The 23,299-nt window shown below is 43.0% G+C and overlaps 1 protein-coding gene across 20 annotated transcripts in view, besides 3 other annotated features; it reads right to left on the bottom strand.

Moving 5' to 3' along the window:
- The window catches only part of JARID2 (jumonji and AT-rich interaction domain containing 2), a 275,974-nt gene that overhangs the window by 82,456 nt on the left and 170,219 nt on the right, over nt 1-23,299 (bottom strand). The gene's annotated exons all lie outside the window — the stretch shown is intronic.
- Nucleotides 628-697: an enhancer, noted in NCBI's record as "active region_24082". NCBI's record gives its function as "activates an Ori minimal core promoter by ATAC-STARR-seq in GM12878 lymphoblastoid cells {active_cell/tissue: GM12878}" and the evidence as "EXISTENCE:reporter gene assay evidence [ECO:0000049][PMID:35858748]".
- Nucleotides 6,592-6,641: a silencer, noted in NCBI's record as "silent region_16952". NCBI's record gives its function as "represses an Ori minimal core promoter by ATAC-STARR-seq in GM12878 lymphoblastoid cells {active_cell/tissue: GM12878}" and the evidence as "EXISTENCE:reporter gene assay evidence [ECO:0000049][PMID:35858748]".
- Nucleotides 17,028-17,087: an enhancer, noted in NCBI's record as "active region_24081". NCBI's record gives its function as "activates an Ori minimal core promoter by ATAC-STARR-seq in GM12878 lymphoblastoid cells {active_cell/tissue: GM12878}" and the evidence as "EXISTENCE:reporter gene assay evidence [ECO:0000049][PMID:35858748]".

Below are 23,299 nucleotides of genomic sequence, written 5' to 3'. Positions count from 1 at the left end.
CCCTCCTGCTTAAGCCCATTTTCCTTGTCTGTAGACAGGAAATGATAAAGCCACAAGGTCAGCCTCCTTCAGTGCAGCTTAAACCCTCCAAAGAAGGCTGCAGCCACATATCCATCGTAGGTTCCTCACAAAGCCTCACTATCTGTTCATTTTTTCTGGATGGCATTACAAAACAGAGGGAAGGGTGATCAAAAGTATAACCAGGAGTGAAAGAAACGGGAGAATAAATTGCACGACATCCTAATAAAACATAACAGCAGGGGTGCAAGTACAGGAGGAGGATAGAGATCCATGCAACAGGCTTATAAACCTCCAACAATGAAAGCAGCCAATGATAAGATTTTTCAGCTAAAAACTTCTTAAATGAGCAATGTCCAAAATCTTATCTTTTACCCCAACCTCAAACCTAGCTTCACTGAGTCCTCTTGCACCAGGAGTAATTAATGGTTGTGATGCTTCCTATGAGAGGCACTGTAGCTGGGTTTGCCTCATTCTCCCCTGTTCCACTGCCTGAACCAGAAAAAGCACCCCCCACACCTTTTTTTTTTTTTTTTTGAGACAGAGTCTTGCTCTGTCACCCAGGCTGGAGTGCAGTGGCGTGATCTCAGCTCACTAAAACCTCCCCCTTCCGGGTTGAAGCGATTCTCTTGCCTCAGCCTCCTGAGTAGCTGGAATTACAGGTACCCAACACCATGCCTGGCTAATTTTTCTATTTTTACTAGAGGCAGGGTTTCACCATGTTACCCAGGCTGGTGGTCTCTTACTCCTGACCTCAGGCAATCCGCCTGCTTTGGCCTCCCAAAGTGCTGGGATTACAGGTGTGAGCCACCGAGCATGGCCACAGTAAGGGATTTCAATGGAGCAGATAGAAGGATACTGTGGAGGGAAACTGCTTCCTAGCTCTTTTCAAGCTATGCTGCCCCCACCACAGGAAGGCAAGCCACCATTGAAGAGAAAGGATAACATTTGCCTAAAGGATCTTTAAAGCGGGGGCTGCCAGGAGGAACCACAATAACAAAGAAGTTGGAATTGTCAGAAAAATACTCACATTTTGTCCACATTGGTCAGAAACAATGACGTGCAGAGGAATCATGGAAATGAACTACATCCTTCTACGCTCTGCAATTCACAGATGAAAAAAGCTACGTACGTACATCTCCCTCACTGCTGACTTCAGCAGAATGTTATGCCAGCCAACTGGGCAAATGCAGAATCATGTTCATAAAGATGTGGGTGACAGGCACTGGGAGGGGGGATGCATAACTACCCTCTTTATAATGCAACTTTCCGATTCCGCCAGCCTCAACATGCCCTAATGGTCTCCCTTTGATCAAAGAGGCATCCATCTTTAACTGTGTCAATCCACTGCCAAACTCCACACTCCCAGCCATATATCAGTCCTGGGAAGGGTTGCTGAGGCTTCTCCTCCAGCAATTTGTAAATGAGAACATTTCCAGCTGGATACTTCAAGTTTCCTCCCCATCCCACCACCCCACAACCCATTTCCAAAATACCATCAAAAAGCAGCCATAGTAACTTCATACCCAGAACAGGCCCCAAGACATTAAACCTGTGTGGGTTTGGAAAACAATACTAACAGACACTGACAAAAATATTCTATCTTCTATCTATTCTGCTAAGGGCCCACTTACCTTTCCAAAAATTCACTTGTTCTTCTTAAGTGGCCTTTCTCCACCCTCTTCTAAGAATTTATTTGTCCTCCCAGAATCGCCCTTTTGCCCCCCACATCCCATTAGGATGGTAAATTCTTTCTTTTTTTTTTTGAGACAGAGTCTCACTCTGTTGCCAGGCTGGAGTCCAGTGGCGTGATCTCAGCTCACTGCAACCTCCGCCTCCCGGGTTCAAGCGATTCTAGGATGGTAAATTCTAACCTCCTCTTAGAGTCACATTTCTTTGTGAACTCAACTAAATCTGTTTTTTTTTTCCCTGTTGCTAATCTGTCTTTCATCCATTTAATTAGCAGGCTCCCCAAAACTGAACTTAAGAGGGTAGAGAAAAAGTTCCTCTTTTTAAAATACGTTTCTTCTATTTTTTTATGTCATACAACTTTAAAAGCAGAGAATGTTACACAAACTAGCACTGCAGATAGACAACCCTAGTAACTAACTAGGTTAAGGGAGGACTTCCACAATGTAAGCGTAAAGGACAGTGCATAAGGAGCTGAGGCCAAGGGTTCATGGTGTGATTCAGCTGGACATAAAAGGGGACAGACCTTAGGGAATGGATAATGAAGGAGACACAGTTTCTGCCTTTCAGGTCTGAACAGGAAGCCTTAGGTTTCATGAAGTGCGACATAATCCAGTCACAGCCTCACAACATAAAGTATGACCTAGACTACACCATGGAGTCAGTGGAGACTGCCATTCCCAACCAGTCCCTGAAACAACCTCCCTCTGGGACAGAAATTGGCTTGGGAACTCAATCATTCACCAAAAGGGACCTTTCCAGGAAGAAAAGATGACCACACACCCCTGTGCTTCCAGGTAGAATCTATGCTGAAGCTGAACAGTAAAACCGTAAAATCACACGGCTGAAGGACAGGGTGGCCTGCAGTCGGGCTCTAAGAAGGACCTGGATATGCTGGGAGGGTTCCATTTAGAGCTCCAGAAGTGCAAGACCTATGTGACCAGGAGAGCACTCAATTGCTCTCTCAGGGAAGCACAGTCCACTTGAACCTCATTCTCCCCTGAACTGAACTCATTATAACTGAATAGGAAAACACAGAATATAAACATTATGGGGGAAAAAAAAAATCACAAGAAAAGCCTTCCAAGCAGGAGTCCACACCACTAGAAACAGAAAAGATTGCTGGGATTTTTCTAATCATGCTTCTCAAACAGGGCATCGCAGGTGGTAGGCAACAAGTGATACAGGAGTGCTGGGAATAGAAGAGCATGGTCCCTTTAAATGATAGGGAAGGTGGGGAGGGAAAAGCTGGGTAGAGGAAGGGCGTGGCCCCTGGCTAGGGCTCTACTCCCAAGACCTAAGTGAGGAAGGCACTTCTGCCTTCTTGCCCAAATGTTGCATTTTCCAAGACCACCCTGATCTGCCACGCCCCCATCCTGGGCCTATGAAAACCTATAAAAACCCAAGACCCTAGCAAGACATAGACACAAGCTGCTGGACGTCCTGAGGAACACATCAGCGGAAGACGACACAAGCGGCTGGTTGTGGAGAGCACGGCCGCAGAAGAGCACTGGCAGGCCAGTAAGCCATCGACCAGCGTGCAGCCCGCCTCCAGGGGAAAACCATCTCCCTTCTGGCTCTCCCATCTGCTGAGAGGTACTTCTATGCAATAAAACCTTGCGATCATTCTCCAAGCCCACGTGTGATCCGATTCTTCTGATACACCAAGGGTAGGATCATGGGTTACAGAAATCCCTCTGTCCTCAAGGAAGGGAGTCTAATTGAGCTAACACAAGCCGCCTATAGACAGCAAACTAAAGGAGCACCCTGTAACACATGCACACTGGGACTTCAGCTGTAAACATTCACCCCTAGAGACTGCTGTGGGGTTGCAGCCCTACAACCTGCCCGTCTGTATGCTCCCCTAGAGGTATGAGCAGCGGGGCACTGAAGAAGTGAGCCACTCCTCCATCGCACGCCCTGAGAGGGGGACAAGAAAACCTTCCCCATTTCAATAGAAACCATAAAATGCAGCAAAGCTTTTCTGTGTTTTCTGCTAGCTTTGGGATTGGTTTGCTCTGTACTCCTGAAGTTCAAAGTTTAAAAAAAAAAAAAATTTGGAATTCATCCTCAAGGCACTGAAACTCCAATGTGCCAAACAGCTTATACTATTAATCTACTCGATTTCAAATTAGTAAAATGTATTTATTTAAAATTAAAAAAATAAAATGTAGCAAAGCATGGCATCATGAGTCATTTCCAGGAATACAGCAGGCCAAGATATTCAAGCAAGTCATTAAAGCCATCAATGAGGTAATAAACAAACAAGAAATTACTGATGGAAATTCTAAGAACAAAAGCTAGAACCCAGACCTACCCAAGGAGAAATGACCCCACTTTTGTGCTTCTGACACAAACAAACCTGAACTTGATTTCCCTAGCACTGGCACTGGGAGGAAGGTGGCATCCTACCACCCTCCAAGCCCTAAAATGGGGCTCTAACAGGAGACAACTTTCTTACATTCAGCTAGGATTCCCAAAGGCTGGATATCTTTCCTGAGAAGTTGTAAAACTTAAGCGGCCCTCACGAGGATTTGGAATATAAAAATCATCTCTCAAGCCCTGAATTTAGTTTAAATAATGTTGGACTGATGATACCCTAAGGTATGTAGCAAAAACATACATGAACCCTCTGTAAGAAGAGTTTTTTCATCTCAGGCCTCAATGAATTCCCCCTCAAACAACTTTTCACATTCAGGGGAAATAAAGCACCATGAGGAAAACCCAGCAGATGTCCAACTGGGAAAATGTCAGTCAGTAATTTGAATCATCAGACTATGTTAAAACAAATAAAAGCCAAGTTTGAAAAACAGGAAACTAACACCTGAAACAGTGAACACTGAAACTACCACTGAACAAACATTGAAACTAACATTTGAGTGTAACCTAACATTTGAAAAGAACCAAACAGAGCTTCTAGAAATCAAAAATAAACTAGCCAGAATTAAGGCTCTCACTTGGCAGTAACAAACCATTTTTCTATTGAAGGAAACCCAAACCTACTTGAGAAGTAGAAAGCAAAAATTTCATGAGTTATATAGACTGCAAAACTTCAAAGTCCTCTTCCAGCAGAGGTTAAGGCCCAAGATACGGAAAGCTGAGAAACACTGTCCTATAGATGAAAATCTTATCTCCTTCTGATAGATGAGGAAACAGCAGATCAAGAAGGGTATTTAGTGACTTGAGTAGGATTAGGCAACTATTAAATACTGCTGGAGAATACACAATAACATTCTATCAAAATACTTGAATTAACACTCCATGGAATTCACATAATGGGATTCTGAGACTCACACTTGGATAAATGAATGGGTTCATTTCCTGTTGTGCCCAGGGGTGTGAAGAGCCTCTGTTGTCATGACAATGAAAAACCAATGCATTCTCTTCCACATTTCACAGTGGTTAAAATAAACAAAGATGACAGCTGACCCTATTTGCCCTTCTAAGAATTTTCTGAAAATCTCTCTCCCCATCAGCTCCTCTAGGGAACTGGCTCCTCGTAATCTATCTATGTGCAACACTCTCTGAAAGATACCACCACCCTAAACAACCCCACAGGCTAAAAATACAACAAATTCCATTTTAAAAGATAAGTCACTGATTGAGGAGTATATGGAATTGTCCATCACAGAAGCATGAATTCTGTGCATCAAGGGACAGCTACAGTATTATTTAATGTCATCTCTCATTCTCTGATCTACAACAAAACTTCGTTTAAAAAATAAAAATAAAAAAAAAAACTGTTAGGAACACAGTGAAGGGTGGAGACAGACTTACGGAGGTACCTGTGTTTTACGGGCAGATTCCCCCACTGGGTATAAACTGTCTCATGCCAAGCTGAAACATGTGAAACCAGGGAAAGTAAAGTACACTGGCACATACATATTCTCAACCCTATTCTACTCCTGACACACACACACACACACACACACACACACACACACACACACACACACACCCTGGAGAGTGAGGGCTACTGGAAAAACTCTTAGGGCCTAAAAGAATTTAAAAAACAGGGGTATGATGGATATTGCATTATTGTCAGCCACAGTATCATCCATTAATGCTAATTATAAGAGAAAAGAACTATCAGGGAGAAAGCACTGTCAAATTTTCCCCCCATATCCCCAAAAGAATGGAGAAAAACATCCCCAGTCCTGTATGATGCAATTGATGTGGGTGGGCAGTAGTGGGTGCATCGACCTGGCCAAGGGAAGCACCATGTATTGCAACCCACAGGAAGCTGGGAATCATCTTATGAATATAAAATTAAAGCCAGCATATGACCGCCTAATACAAAGGAAATCCAAGATTAAATCACATTGTTTGCTCTAATAAGTTGCTTACATCAGGAAAAGACTTTCACTTGGATGACATGCCCTTAGGTAGGATGCACGCCACCTAAGCGACTGCCTAAACTGAAATTATACACACACACACACACACACACACACACACACACACACACAGAGAGACATGGGGGTTGGGGAGGAGGCATGCAGCCAACAACTAGACTATAAATAATTTCAAATAAACCGCAAGGGAAGGAAAGACATTATTACTTTTCTTTCTCTGCACAAGGCAGATGAACAAGCTGAGGAAGGAAACATTTGGGGACACACAAAGGAAAAGGTCCCTATAAGGAAATGGGGCTACCTGGCCCTAAAAATTCTTAACCACAGACATAATCACTGTTCACTTACCCAGCAACTATATATAGAATGGGTGCTTATTATTTAAGGGTAATAATATAATACGTGCTTTAAATCACATAGAGCCCTCGGAGTGGTGCTTATCAAAGTGTGATTCTTCAACCAGCAACAAAAGAATCACTTGGGAGCATACTAGAAATGCAAATTCTCAGGCACCACCTCAGACTTAACTGAATCAAAAACCCTCAGGGCAGGACCTAGCCAGTCTGTGTTTTAACCAGTCCTCCAGATGATTCTGATGCACGCTTACATGTGAGAAATACTGGGTTATAGCCAATGCTATAAGGTGTAATGGTTGCATTTATCAGACAAGGAAACAGAGAGGCTCAGACACTTTTAAGTAGCTTTTAACAGCTTAGATACAAACCAAACATCTAACTTTATTCAAAAACCTGTGCTTCTGCAGCAGGAGAACAGGGTCTGGAGGGAAGGAGCCTAAGGACTTCCTAGAACTAAATCAAACGGAAAAACTGCCAACCTTCTAGCCCAAGTAAATAACTTTGTAACATTCCAAACTTTCCAGCTATGGCAGGAAACTTCACTTCATCCTCTTCATTCACATGGGGCATACACCAAGTAACCAATGGGAAACCTCTAGAGGGTATTTGAACCCCAGAAAATTCTGCAACCAGTGCTACTGAGACACTGGCTTCGAGCCCACTCCCAGTCTGTGGAGCGTACTTTTCTTGTTGTTGTTGTTGTTGTTGTTGTTGTTGTTTTTGAAGGTGAGAGTAGCTGGAGGATGACAGAGTCCCAAGTCTGCCCAGGCTGAGGTGCAGTGGCGCAATCTCAGCTCACTGCCACCTCTGCCTCTTAAGTTGAAGTGATGCCTCAGCCTCAGCCTACCGAGTAGCTGGGATTATAGGCGTGAGCCACCATGCCTGACTAATTTTGTATTTTTAGTAGAGACAGGGTTTCACCATGTTGGCCAAGCTGGTCTTGAATCCCTGACCTCAAGAGATCCACCCGCCTTAGCCTCCCAAAGTGCTGGGATTGCAAACGGGAGCCACCACACCCGGCCTGTAGAGTGTACTTTCGTTTCAATAAATCTGTGTTTTTTTTTTTTCATTGCTTTGTGTGTTTTGTCCAATTCTTTGTTCAAAACGCCAAGAACCTGGACACCCTCCACCGGTAACACACTGGTACCAGCTGAACTGTGGGTCTCAGTGGCTTAGCAAAAGTGCAGGAGCACTACTGAGCACAGTGAGCCTGTGTACCTAACCAGGCATTCCTGAGAACAGGCTTCCTACTGGATTTATTTCACAAGAGATAAGAGTCCTTTCCAGTGGCATACCTTTAGTGACTTGGCTTAAGAGGATTTCAACAGAAACCACAAAACAGACTGCTTCACAGCTCTGATTCAATGTCCCTGAATAAAGGGACAACACTGGAGACAGAACCTCTCTGGAAAAAAATCTATGGGGTCATTATCCAAACTGCCATCTGTAAATTTCTTACAGTGCTTAAATTGCTTCATTGAAAGGGAAAAAGATAAGAGTCTTCAACACTTTCTTTAGAAACTTAATTTCAATTAACTAATTGCAATTTAAAATTATATCCTGGTCTTCTGAGGCTTGAACCAAGAAATGTGAATAATATGTAAAGAGCTTGTTTACACTAAAAGTAGTGGAGGCAGTGGTAACAGCAACACAGAAGGCACAAGCCGTCACTGTCTTCAAGGTGTTTGTCAGAATTATTCCTCATGACCTTCAGAAGGGTAAAGCTGAAGGAGCCATACCCTCCTCTCCTTGGCCTCAAACAATTCCCAAAACCCAAACAGCAGGAAGGCATCGTTTATGAGACATACGGATCGCAGCTGATGGAAAACATCAGCGTGCATTTGGGTTCCTAAATCATTTCAAAACATTAATCAGGAAGACTCACAGCACCCAGTCCTATCTAAGCCATAGATTCCTCATTTAGGGAATGGGATGATCTCACATTCACATGATCTGTAAGGGCTCTATTTATCCCAGCACAGTTCAATTAGGCTGAATTGCAGGAGGCATAAGAAATGATAATCAGGAGAGAAATTATGGCAAAGGCAGTTCAACTCCCTACAAAGGGGAAAAACTACAAGCTCCAGAAAGGCCAAGTGCCAGTCCACATTACACAATGGTATTTGCCGGAACAACAAGCAGATTACAGCCCTGCACGGTACCAATAGTCTACAGGCTGTCACAGTGAATGCAAACATATTTCTTGGGGGCTGAGTAACAGGCTGAACAAATTTGTAACTATGTTCCAGAAAAAGAATGGCTCTGAAAACAACATATATTTAGAAACTGCTAGAATCCCATCCTACACAGTTCCAAGTTGACAGAATAATAAAGTACCCCAAGACTGGTCTGGATCATGTGCAGTTACTCAAAGCAGCCCCTACAGACCATTCATTCCCCCAAGAGTTAGCAGAAGCTTAAGTGGGCTTGGACTGGAAAGCATGCCCCACAAGTCCCACAACCCCCAGGTAAGTAGGCACTGACAAAAGCGATTTCATCACCAGATTATCAATAAGCCCTTCACAGATGGACATCTCACTACACCCGACCCAATGCTTGCTTAGTGCACTTTTTAAATCATATTAGAAAACAATTTACTTAATTCAATAAAGCACCTGGCCTATTATACTGTTATATACTCAACAGAACAGTATTTCATATAAGAGAAGCAACATCTCAAAAGGCCTCATGTATTTCAACATATAATTGGCAACCACATATAAACAGCAGGAAAATAACTCAGTATCAAGCATGGTTCTTGTTTTCTGTTTAAATGTTTTCCTTCTTCCCACATTTTGTATATAGTAAACGAAATGAATTAACATTGAGGTCAATTGTACATACTTGAAATATTCTATAAAGTGGTCATACATGGTATTTTAATGTCACAGAAATTGTCTTGATAACTAAACTCCAGGAAGATAAAGAAGCAAAAGTACATCTTGTACCTAAGGAAAAAACAAAATCTTAGCAAGAACGTCAGATATATTTAATGGCATCCTTATAAGACATTATTTTATTATCATGGACATAGATGCAGAGGTTAAATGTTTTTATATTTGAAAGAGTCCAGAAAGCTGGAGTTAACCCTAAGTTGGCACCAAGGGAAGAACCAGAGAATCTTCATGCAAGAAGATGGAATTTTGCCTTCTCTTGGCATGACTAATTAGAGAGGGCTGCTAGCAATTCAGCAATATTATAATGACGTCTGAGGACTCACAAGCCTGCTGTGAGGCTAGAAATACACACTTCCTTATTACTAATCAGATGTACCAAGGAGTAAAATTTACACGGTACATTTTGGCTTCCCTGTGGTCAGATGTGGAGTTTCTGTACCCAGGGAAAAGAATGTAGAAACGTGTGTGTACATTTCTCTCTCTCGCAGGGCCGGAGACAAAACGGTATGTATCACTACCAAAAACGTGTACTCGGTTCTTTCCTAACACTTCAAAAAAACAAATCCAATGGGTTTTTACTTCAGACACACACACGTGTGCATACACCCCCTCCAAGATGATAGTGTGCAAAAGACCAGAACAATTCTAAATAGGAGTATTTGCCTCTGAAATGTGATGACCCCTTTAGAAATGTTTCCTTTTCAGTGGAGTGCGGTGGCTCAGGTCTGTAATCTCAGCACTTTGGGAGGCTGAAGTGCAAAGATCAATTGAGGCCACCAGGAGTTCGCAACCAGCCCAGGCAACACACTGAGACCCAACCTCTACAAAATATGAAAATGTATGCCAGGCATGGTGGCATGTGCCTGTGGTCCCAGATACTCAGGAGGCTGAGGCGAGATGACTGCTTGAGCCCAGGAATCCAAGGTTGTAGTTAGCCTATGATGACACCATTGCATTCCAGCCTGGGTGACAGAGTGAGACCACAACTACCTCAAAAAAAAAAAAGAACAAGAAAAAGATTCCTTTTCCTAATAGTTGGTTTAGCTACTCTTAGAATTTGTTTACACACTCAAAAACATGCAAATTGTTATTCCACAGCAGATACTCTGCCACCATTGGGGATACAAAGATAAACAAGGACCCATCCCTACTCAAGTGGACATAGCCTAGAAAGCAAAGACTACCTATTCCTCGCCCCACCCAAACACAGGCAAGACAATCACATATGGATGATGTTGCTTTCAACCAATTCTGTGAATAGCTTTAAGTATGAGGATGGAGCTATCAAGACAATTAATGAGGACTATACTCTAGAAGTTTTTTTTTTTTTTGGGGGGGGGGTTTGTTTTTTTTTTGTTGTTTTTTTGAGACAGAGTCTCGCTGTGTCCCCCAGGTTGGAGTGCAGTGGTGCTATCTCAACTCACTGCGGCCTCTACCTCCCGGGTTCCAGCGATTCTCCTGCCTCAGCTTCCCAGGTAGCTGGGATTACACGTGTGTGCCACCAGGCCCAGCTAATTTTTGTATTTTAAGTACAGACAAGGTTTCACCATGTTGGCCAGGCTGGTCTCGAACTCTTGACCTCAGGTGATTCGCCAGTCTTGGCCTCTCAAAGTGCTAGGATTACAGGCATTAGCCACCATGCCTGGCACTAGAAGATTCTATCATTGCATGAGTTCATGTCCTTTGTAGGGACATGGATGAAGCTGGAAACCATTATTCTCAGCAAACTACCGCAAGGACAAAAAACCAAATATGGCATGTTCTCACTCATAAGTGGGAATTGAACAATGAGAACACTTGGACACAGGAAGGGCAACATCACACACCAGGGCCTGTTGTGGGGTGGCGGGAGGGTGGAGGGATAGCATTAGGAGACATACCTAATGCTAAATGATGAGTTAATGGGTGCAGCACACCAACATGGCACATGTATACATTACGTAACAAACCTGCACATTGTGCACATGTACCCTAGAACTTAAAGTATAACAAAAATATATATCTAACAAAAAAAGAAGATTCTATCATTGCAAATTAAAGCCATTGAGCCTAAAGGAAAAAATATTCTTGCATGATATTTACCTTATTGTGTAGAAAAAAACCCACTTACCATAAAAACCCCTCCTTAAAATTTCCAAAAGCAGAAATGAACCCAATTTTCTTCTAAAACAAGTCACTTTGGTTGCTGCCTTTCATCACCCGCCAGACTCCCATCTTACAATAAAATAGGAGGGAGGCAGTGAGGGAACAGGAAGTATACGGCGACAGTAGTAAGAAGAAACATTCAATTCTCATCTTAGTTAAAGCACTGTGCACTACTTGCAATTGCACTAGGCAGTCAAGTGAGGTATTAACATCAAGCAGCACTCTGCATTAAAAAAAAAAAAGGTATGTCTAACAACCCCATATAAGCACTCACATGTGAACCACAAGTGACATTAATGGCTGTCACCTCCTTCACAAACCAGGTGACTCCAAGCCCTCACAATTCCAGCATCTAGTGCCTTTCACGTAAGATGCCAGGAACCAGTGTCTACACATTCACACTAAGGAAGATTCAGGAACTGATCAAATGTTCCCAGGAGGGTCAGAAACTGCTGAAAAAGATCAGGGTGGTGTTTAGACTTGTCCTTTGGGGGTGTGAAAAGGCAAGGAGGGCAAAGGGATGAGACAAAAATGTTACTGTTTAAAAGCCTAGCAAGAGCTTAGAGGAGGAAGGAAAGAAACTTGTATCCAGCAGTTTCCATGGCAACCACAAAGCATACTAGACCATAATTTACATGGGGGGTGGAAGTGATATCCCTGCAATCTGATCTCCGAGGTAACAGAAAAAGGAAATGGCCACTGCAGTAATAAAAATGAAGTTCCAGCCTTTTTTGTTTTCTAGAAAATAAACAAATGCGGAAGAAGCTAGTATGTTTGCCAGGAGCCTGAAGCAAATAATGGGGGTGAATATGAAGTCCCAACAAGTGTTCGCCAACATCTAAACCTGCAGAGGATGCAAATATTCTGCGGCAGGTCCAGGCTTTGCGATTCCTTCCATCACACTACAACTCACATGCTCTGAACTCTTAGGACAGAGTGTGGTGCAGGTTTATGCAGAAGAATTGAGTATCTAATAAGACCTCTCTAGAGACAGACCCAAGTCTAGCAGGAACAGGAACTTGTTAAAGAAAGAAGACCCAGGTTTCAAACTCATAAAACACAATTTCAGGAAGATAAGCATAAATGGCAAGGTTAAAAATAAATTGCACACAGCCACAAAGGGTTGCCAGACACAGCCCTCCTTTACATTCCTGCAAAGTGCTACTCCAAATATATCAAGGTGCTGATGTACCCCCCATTACTCAGGCCAGTTATGTAATTCTTTAACAAACACATACACTTAAACAATGTAAATGTATACTATAAATAAGCCTTTTGATCAAAACCATAAAATGGCACTGATGGCTTTCAAATGGTAAAATCTCCTGACCTCCTTGTAATTATCCAAGAATCTATTAGGCTTAAGTCACCTCATCCTCTGGGGGTTGGAAAAACAGCAAGCAAGCAAGATTGGGGTTTGTTTTTCATTTACTAAGGTGAAGACAGGAAACCCTCTTGGAGCTCTTCCACTCCCTACTATAACTGAAGGAAGCTAGTGCTGTCAGTCCACATCCATTCAACAAATATTGATTCAGTGCCTCTGAGCACATCTTGGCTTAGACTGATTTGGGAGCCAACACTTAAGCATAGTAACCTCCTACATAGTGTGGAGACAGGTTATTTCATTTAATTCTACAAACTACCTGGGTTCTTGGTCATTTCCAGTCTGCCTAGCTGGGCCTGTCCAATGTGCAGCCTGCCCAACATCCACGTGCGTCCTTTTGAATATCAACTAACCATCTTGCCTCCAGCTCACCATCTTGGTAAAGAAAAGTTTATAATTCAATCCTGCCTTCTCTCTCAGCCAGCTTGTGAAGTCCATCGGTAAAGAGAATGCCCTGAAGCACACAAAGCCTTCTAGAAGCAGCCTGTTAAGAAGCACAAAGAACCCTTCACTTGTCAAACCTCGGCCCCACTCGAGGATTATTAAGAGTCACAATCTCGAAAACTCTGGCCCTTCCTGAGTGGCAGGTCTCAAGTAGCTGCTGTCCCCTCCCAAGGCAAACTGCCCAGTACTCAAGAAGCTCATCATGTTATTACTATAACTGCACTGCACCCAGCTACCATGTTCACAGAAACAGGTACAGGCCTGTTTCCCTGCATTAGATTGGCTGAGAAACCCACAGCTGGCAGCTCACATCATGCTATTAGGACGTCAAAGAGGACTGACTTACCCAGAAAAGCACAATACTAAAAGGGTCTCCTCCTTTTCTCGCTCTTATTACATCTCCCAGATATGGGAAAATGAAGTGCACACATGACCATATTGAAGCTGCCGCAATTTCCCTAGTCACTCTGCTTGTGTTCCACAAACTTCACGCATCTTTCTTTTGCAGCACACTTGCGCTCTTAGTCCATTTGAGGCTTCTATTACAGAATGCTTAACACTGCGTAACATATAAAGAACAGAAATTTATTTCTCACCATTTTAAAGACTGATGGACAGGCATATGGTGATGGCCTTCATGCCATTACCTAACATAGTAGAGTAGAAGGCAACATATGGCAAGAGAGACAAAAGGGGGCCTATCTTGTCCTTCTATAAGGAATCCACTCCCATGATAAAGGTATGAATCCACTCCCACGATAAAGGTATTAATCCACTCAAGAGGGTGCAGCCCTCATGACCCCAACACCTCTACATTGGGGAACAAGTTTCTAACACATGAAATTTGGGGGGCACATTCATACCACAGTACACCGCAACAAAAATTATTTACTTCTCTACTTTCCCTGGGATGCAGATTTCTGTGGCTCAAAACAGGCTTAAATCAATCATATGTAGCTGCATCTCAGCACCTGAGAAAACTATTAGCATGCGTTTTCATTTACAAATTAGCACCTATGCATATGTGCTCCTTGGAGGTCACAATCCTCTGAAGGTTAAAATGGAATCACTTTGCCACACCCCAGAATTCTCAGGCCACTCCAAAAATTTTGAAGGTACAACTATACTATTCTCTGTTTGTCATCAGTACATTATGATGGCTCTTCATTGACTTATTTAAGGTGAGCAGACATCATTTACTGAGTCTGTATTACATACCGGGAGCCTTGTCTCCCAGACAAGTATAGTCTTCTGTGCCTCAGTGTTCTCATCGGTAGGATGGGGATGATAATAAAATAACGTATCTTAATGATTTTGCTATGAGAATAAAATGGGCTAACATATGTAAGGAATGTAAAACAGTGGAAGTGGACAGCACATCATAAATGCTATGTAAGTGTTTGCTGGTTTGTTGTTGTTGTTGTTGTTTTGTTTTGTTTGAGACAGAGTTTTGCTCTTGTTGCCCAGGCTGGAGTGCAATGGCACGATCTCAGCTCACCGCAACCTCCGCCTCCTTGGTTCAAGCGATTCTCCTGCCTCAGCCTCCTGAGTAGCTGGGATTACAAGGATGCGCCACCACACCAAGCTAATTTTGTATTTTTTTAGTGGAGGCAGGGGTTCTCCATGTTGGTCACACTGGTCTCGAACTCCCGACCTCAGGTGATCCGCCCAACTCAGCCCCCCAAAGTGCTGGGATTACAGGCGTGAGCCACCACGCCTGGCCAAGTGTTTGCTGTTATTAACATCAACAGAGCCACTCTGCAAAATTGCTCTTCTTTCAGATAACTGACTCCCCCAGGGACAGAGTATTACTTTAGATTCAAGCCCAGTCTATATGAATCTATAATCATAAATTTTGCTCTTTTCTCCTAATTTCTAATCAAAGGGTTAATTATAAGACTGGGCTAGAAAAACATGTTTGACACTAAGCCACAACATTTGGAGGATTGTGGAGGGAGAACTCCTCCTGGTGTAAATCAATTCCAAATCAAAATAAGCCAAGAAGGGCTTGAAGATCAAGAGACAGTCAATGGCCAGGCACAGTGGCTCATGACTGTAATTCCAGAAATTTGGGAGGCCGAGGCAGGAGGATCACTTGAGGCTGGGAGTTTGAGACTAATGTGGGCAACAAAGCAAGACCCCATCTCTTAAAAAAAAAAAAAAAAGAGGCAGCCAGGGATGAATACATACAGGTCTATCCACGTCTGTGTGCCTCCCAGAAAGAGTTTAGGAATGCGGGCTCAGATGTCTAAGCAGTGAAAGTAGTAAGTACTGGCCAAACAACGCAGACCAACGAGGGGATGAAGCCTGACCACTAGAGAAAGGGACCAGAGGTTAACAAAAAGACCCTCCGGGAGAGGAGGTGTCTTGGGGAAAACAAAAACGGAGCTCCACCCAAAGACAGGGCACCTGCAAAGGCACAGCAGCACCATAAAGGTATTCACAGTTGCAGGAACCCAAAACACTGGTCACCAGACACATGTTCACACCTCTTCCCTATCACGGCCCCAAGGGAAGCAGAGGCCAGCAAGGAGTGGAGATGAGAAGTGACAAGCTTCTCCAGCATCCTGCAAACAGATATCCCATACCAAGGATAAAACGTACGTGCTCAGCCCAGGGTGAGGTCAAGCATACAGAGGTACCTCTCAGACTTAATTATCCTGATCTAGGTAGTAACAATTTGAAATGGAACCTGCAGTCCATCCTGCCACGTAAGCCACACAAATCTACCCACACATGACCCATAAAAGTGAACTTAAAATACCAGCCTGTCTTTGTCCCATGACTCAGGAACAACTTGCCCCACAGTGTTACACCAACAAACCACATTCCCCATCCAAACTCTTCCTTCTGTGATGTTGAACTCTACCTCCTATATTAATCCTTCTGAATTTAGTAGTTGCACAATTCTTCCCAAAAGCCAAAACCACTATCCTGTCCCCAACCTCAAAAAACGAGCTGGACCTCAGCTTTCTTTCCAATGACAGATGACTGGGATGCAGGCCAGGCATAGTGGCTCACACCTGTAATCCCAACAATGGGAGGCTGAGTCAGGCAGATCAACCAAGCCCAGGAGTTCGAGACCAGCCTGAGCAACATGGTGAAAACCTACTTCTACAAAAAATGAAAATAATTAGCTGGACGTGGTGGCACATACCTGTAGTCCCACCTACTTGGAGGCTGAGACAGGAGGATCACTTGCACCCAGGACGCGGAGGTTACAGTGTGCCGATATCGTAACACTGCACTCCAGCCTGGGCAACAGAGCCAGGCCCTGTCTCAAATAAATGTTTAAAAAAAAAAAAAAAAAAAAGACTAGGCTACACCTGTAAGCCTTGATAGCATAGTCAAGTAGGCCTAACCCATGAGAAGACAAGATGGACTCAACAACAGGCGTCATTAATGAGAAAAAAGGAGCTGCTTCCTGTAAACTGGAGCAATACAAAAGATTGTTTTATAATCCCAAAACAGAGTCACATAAGCAGTATTCTGCCAAGCACTTAAAATTCTGAGAGAGGGAGGGGGAGCGGGGAAGCCCACACAAAACCAGTCAGATTTCGTGTTTATTTGACCAGCTTCATCTATTGTGTAGACACCCATGGTGGGGCTCTATTTCCTGATGGGGAAGCAGAAGTGGGGAGACACAGCCACCATCTTGGGTACCCCTAGAGCAGAGGTGAGAAATTGTGAGTTAAATGAGGTCTGAACCAAGGGTTTTTGCTGCAGGGAAAGAACCTGACCACGAATGTCGATGAGCAGCATGTGCAGCCTCCAGGAAACAGAGCATGCACAGCCCAGCGAGAATTGCTGGCACACTCAGAAAACGCTTCCTTAGCTCTGTGCTATCCAACCTCAGACACTGAAACCCAGGAACTCAGGTTCACCTTGCTGATCAAGGTGAAGGCACAGTGCGTGAAATACAAACTTCCCTCCCACACTTGGAAGATTTCCATGGGAAAGGTGAATATGCACAAGCAAGCACTGTGATGTGAGCCACCCCAAACCTACCAACTCCAGCTCACTGCAGGAAAAGTAAAGAAAAAGAGTATTCGTCCAGAAGGACAGAGAACCACCCACTAAAATCAACAAGTAATCACAGATCTACTTGCAGCAGCTACCTGAAACAACAGTCAGCTGAGCTGGGCCCTCTCCTGGACGCGCTTCTCTCCAGGGTCCTTAAACAAAAGGACCTCTAACATTGGAGGACCCAAGAGAGGATTTCGGGAGCTGTAGGTTCTGCTCAAGATAAGCTAAAACTTTTCCCCTTTCTATCCATCGCTCAGTTTATAATGAAGCAAGGCATTTCATGTACTTCAGAAAAGAAGGAATACATCCCTTGGCAGAAGAGATTATTTACTAGAAGAGGTCAGCTGAAGAGTAACACTAGGCATGACAGCAAGAGGTGCCCCTCAGCACAGTTGTGGACCAGGCCAGACCCCAGTTCAAACTGCACCCCCACCCCCAGTACAGCTCACCAAGCCAACTGCTGTCCAGATGCACACACCTGAAAATTCAGACCTACATTTGCTACAACTTATGGAAGGTGACATGGTACAGTGGCAAAGTCCAGGCATTATAGATGTGAAAGCTTAGATCCAAATCCTATTAACTCAGCTGCCAAGTGAGGGTGGTAAAACCTTAAAAACAGGTATTTCAAAAGAATTAAGGTAAAAATTTTTAGCACAATATTATCTAGGCTAAGGTCAGTTCTTCCTAACGGAAGAGACAGATTACATAGCTTCAAAGAAGGACTTCTAATAGTCACAGGCTTTATTATGGAATGGAGTTTACTATTTTTATTATAGGCCGAATGCTTATGTTTATTAATTTTGAATTTTTTTTCTTGGAGTCAGGGCTTACTTACGCTGTTCACCTTTTTTTTTTTTTAAAGACTAACAAAACTAAATGAAAAGCTATGACCGTGGCTAGTTCCATTTCCTGATGGTACGTGTCTCTCTCACACTCTCATTCAACATTCAAAGAACAGAAAGAACTTCCGCTTTTAGTGAAGCTAGACAGGATTTATACCTCTTGCCTGTCTGAAAGAACTAAAAATCCACACAAAACAACGGCCACCATATAGCAACATACTGTGATCCCTGACGGATGGAAAACAAATGATCCCTCCAGCTCACTGCCCTGAGAGAATGTCCAGGCTGCAGCAGTTACGGAAAGGGCAAGCAGAGCCGGGGTTGAGAAACACAAGGGGAGGCCAAGGTGATATAATGTGTAAGGCAGAGCACAGCAGAGGCCAGAGCCACACAGACAACAATGGAATCTGCCAAAGGCGCTCCTCATGTCTTCCGCTGAGTACTAACAAGCACATTTGTGTTAGGAAGCTACCCAAGAGAAAGTATTTCCAGAAAGGATTAGCAGGAACAGTATCCAAATTGTAAAAGCACCAGGAATAGTGCCCATTCTTACTAGCCTACATGGTAAACATAATCCATAGGACATCAAGTAAAATACTCGTAAGGGTTTTTGCCTGAGTAGCAGGGAAACAATGCCTCACAGTAAACACTGCTTTGGCCCTACCTAACCATGCTTGAAACCAAGATCCAAACAGATCAAACTGTTCCCTAATAATCAGATCTCAGAACAATGCTCAAGAATATGTAGAGAAATACGAACATTTCCCACAGCCAGAGAAAAATTTAGTGTCTGTCAAGTAATAAAAAGCTACCAGACATGCAAAGATGCAGGAAAATATGACTGATGAGGAGGAAGATTAATCAATCAAAACTGTTTTGTAAATAATGGAAGACAAAAATAGCACATATACTCAAATATCTCTTGTAACTGTACTCCACATGTTCAAGAAACACCAAAGAATAAGCATATTACTAGAGACACTGAAGATTATGGAAAGACCAAAATCTAACTTCTTTTTTTTTTTTTTATGGAGTCTTGCTCTGTCACCCAGGCTGTAGTGCAGTGGTGTGATCTTGGCTCACTGCAACCTCCGCCTCCTGGGTTCAAGCAATTCTCCTGCCTCAGCCTCCTGAGTAGCTGGGATTACAGATGCGCACCACCACGCCCAGCTAATTTTTGTATTTTTAGTAGAGACAGGGTTTCACCATGTTGGCCAGGAAGGTCTTGAACTCCTGACCTGGTGATCCACCCGCCTCGGCCTCCCGAAGTGCTAGGATTACAGGCGTGCCCAGCTGTAACTTCTAAAATATAATAACAATGTCTGAGATAAAAGATATATTCAATAGTCTTACCAGCAGATTTAGGGTATAAACTATCTAAAATGCAACATACAGATCAAAAAAGGAACAAAACACATGAGCTATGGGACAACTTCAGAGTAATATATATGAAAATTAGGTCCCCAAAGGGGAGACGAATGCACACGAAAATATTTGAAATAATAATGGCTCTAATTTTTCCATAGTAAATGAAATCTACAAACCTAATACACTCAATGAATCTCAAACTCTGGAAATAAAAACTGCCAAGGCACATCGTATCAAATTGCCTAAAACCAGTAAGGGATTCAAAAGAAAATTGTGGTAAATGATTGCTCCTACAAAGCTATGAAAATAACAACAGGATTCTCATCAGAAATGATGCACATCGGGACAGTGGGGCAGTGTCACTGAAGTACTGATGGTGAATGACTATTAACCTAAAATTTTATACCCAGCAAAAATATCTATAAGAAATGAAGGTGTATTTTGTATAACTGCATGTAATTCTACAATTATCATAAAAGTATTTTTTTAATGTGGGTGAAATGAGATCTTCCCAGACATACAAAAGCTGAATGATCAACAGCAGACCTAATGTTAGAAATGTTAAAATCCTTCAAGCAAAAGCAAATGCAAATGATACTAGAAACAAAAATGGCAACTACGTAGATAACTTGAAACAGAAGATAGGCGAGATTTACCCATATTTACTTTATATTTACTTCCACATCTTTTGTGTTCAAAACTGCCACATCATAATCTATTACTCAATTTTTCTTTACTTTCTGTAGTAGAGAGTACATTTCACCCATGATAACTCTAAAGTTGAAAATTAAACTAGTACTTCTCTTATTTATAAAATATATCTCCAGGTTGTAAGAACAAAATAAACTCCAAATAACCTGATCAGTGGAAGCTTCTAAATATAAATCAAGGGTTAAGAGAAATGTTAAGCCTTTTGCTGATTGTTTTGCTTTCACTTTTTTGCATTTAATAGTAAATTATACTACTAATTTATTTTTGATACAGGAATGAGTAAAAACTAGGCACTTATTTAATATAATTCCAATTATTAAGGATGCTCACTTTGAATAATCCCAATTCATGCATGCTATCAAGAAGATTCGTATACATTTGGGCTTATCTTCCTTTCAAACTCGAAGTAAATAAAAGTATTTTATACCATCAAAGTAACTCAGACCAAAAAGAATAAGGAACACAGTCGTGCAGACAATGTAGCTGTGAATATCATACCTGTTAAAAGCCTGAGAGAATTCTCACCACTTTCAACATGTCTTCATATCCAGAGGCATGTCATATCTCAGAGTACACTGAGTTATGAAATCCATACACTTCCAATGATTCTTTACATTCAAAATTCAATCTAATAGGACAAACAGTGTTTAAACTAAGTCCTATTGGATCGAAAGCCTAACTAAAATACAGCAGCTCCTTGTTTAACAAAAAAGTTACATCCCTTTAGAGACAGAGTCGGTACTTCTGTACTAGTTAAATAGAAACTCTTAAGAGTTTTTATTTTAAAGTCTGTTAGTACACAAAAAGCAATATACCCTTCTAAAGAATATAGTTGACCGGGCACAGTGGCTCATATGCCTGTAATCCCAGAACTCTGGGAGGACGAGGCGGGCGATCACGAGGTTAGGAGATAGAGACCATCCTGGCCAACATGGTGAAACCGTCTCTACTAAAAATACAAAAATTAGCCAAGTGTGGTGGCATGCACCTGTAGTCCCAGCTACTCAGGAGGCTGAGGCATGGAATGGCTTGAACTCGGGAGGGCGGAGGGTGCAGTGAGACGAGATCATGCCACTGCACTCCAGCCTGGCGACAGAGCAAGACTGTCTTACCAAAAAAAAAAAAAAAAAAAGAGGAATATAGTTAACAAGAGATCCCAACACTAAACATTAGGGTTCTGGGTCTCTCCCTAAGGTGAAGCAATGACTAATGCATGAGCAGCCACGATGGAATCTCCTCACCCCACCACTCTTGCCTGCTCCATTCAGGCAAATACTAGGTCGCACCAAGCTCGGCAGAGGAAATTTACAACATACACCACAGGGTCCTTCCCGTGACTCAATAACTTCAAAAGAGGGAGTACCCATACATTTCCATCTGCCTACAGATGGCTGTGGTAGGGCTGACAGAGAGGAAAGATATAAATCATTTGTGTAAATTAAAAACCCTCTGAAACAAGTCAGAGAAGTCTCGAAAGGATGTGCATACTCACATGTAGCAATTCATGTGTCACATATACTGACAATGGCTACTAACATCTAACATACAGAGTACCATTTATACATGAGAATTTTTTATTTATTTATTCGCTTATTTAGTTTTTTTTTGAGACAGAGTCTGGATCTGTCCCCCAGGATGGAGTGTGATGGCACGATCACAGCTAACTGCAACCTCCATCTCCCAGACTCAAACGATCCTCTCATCTCACCCTCCTGTAACTGGGACTACAGGCTCATGTCAACAGGCCCAGCTAATTTTTTTTGTATTTTTTGGTAGAAATGGAGTTTCGCCATATTGCCCACGCAGGTCTCTCCAACTCCTGGATTCAAGTGGCCGGCCGGCCTCAGCCTCCCAAAGTGCTGGGGTTATAGGTGTGAGCCATTGCACCCAACCAATACACCAAAATTCTCTTCAAGAATTAATTTATTCAGGTCACAAAACACCATCAGGCAGTTACTACTGTGATTCACATCTTTCAGATGAGAGAACTAAGGCCCAGACATATTATATAACCTGCCCAACAGGTATGATACAATACCTGTTGCATTATATAACACAACAAGTAAATGTTCAAGATATAATGAGAAGTCACACAGCCTGGCCCCAGTCTATACTCTTATGCTGCACCACAGTCTCCACAAAACCCGCTTAAGAACCACTGTTCTCGTGAAATTTTTCTACCCTCTTCCCCCTACTCACCCACAGATAAAAATAAACAGTTAATCTTGCTCTCTATTTTAGTCGCCAACTCAGATGACCTCTTTTGAATCGTACACTTCAGATCTCGTATTTACTTGCATCTAAAAATATACCATCACCAAATTAACTGTACATTATCGTTTCATTCCTCAAACAAATAATCCTCACCTCCATAACCATCCTTCCAAAGAGTTTCTGACCACAAGTCCACACCCAAATGACCAAAATCCATCCATTCTGGTTTCTACACATACTGAGAGACTGATGGGGCAAATACACACTTTACAAGAAGAACTGAGTGGAATAAAAGGGCAAAATGAGAAAGGAGATAGGCAGGGCCACCTTCACATTCAGAACAGGATGAAAGTCTCTGTAATGGTTCCATTCTAAACAATATAAGTTAGCCCCTCTCCCTCTCCCTCTCCCCCCTCTCCCTCTCCCTCTCCCCACGGTCTCCCTCTCCCTCTCTTTCCACGGTCTCCCACTGATGCCAAGCCGAAGCTGGACTGTACTGCTGCCATCTCGGCTCACTGCAGCCTCCCTGCCTGATTCTCCTGCCTCAGCCTGCCGAGTGCCTGCCATTGCAGGCGCGCGCCACCACGCCTGACTGGTTTTCGTATTTTTTTGGTGGAGACGGGGTTTCGCTGTGTTGGCCGGGCTGGTCTCCAGCTCCTAACCGCGAGTGATCCGCCAGCCTCGGCCTCCCGAGGTGCCGGGATTGCAGACGGAGTCTGGTTCACTCAGTGCTCAATGGTGCCCAGGCTGGAGTGCAGTGGCGTGATCTCGGCTCGCTACAAACTCCACCTCCCAGCCGCCTGCCTTGGCCTCCCAAAGTGCCGAGATTGCAGCCTCTGCCCGGCCG

This window comes from Homo sapiens, chromosome 6 (genome assembly GCF_000001405.40).
Source record: "Homo sapiens chromosome 6, GRCh38.p14 Primary Assembly".
In the NCBI taxonomy this organism is placed as follows: Eukaryota; Metazoa; Chordata; class Mammalia; order Primates; family Hominidae; genus Homo; species Homo sapiens.
This window is presented reverse-complemented; position numbering and strand designations above follow the sequence as displayed.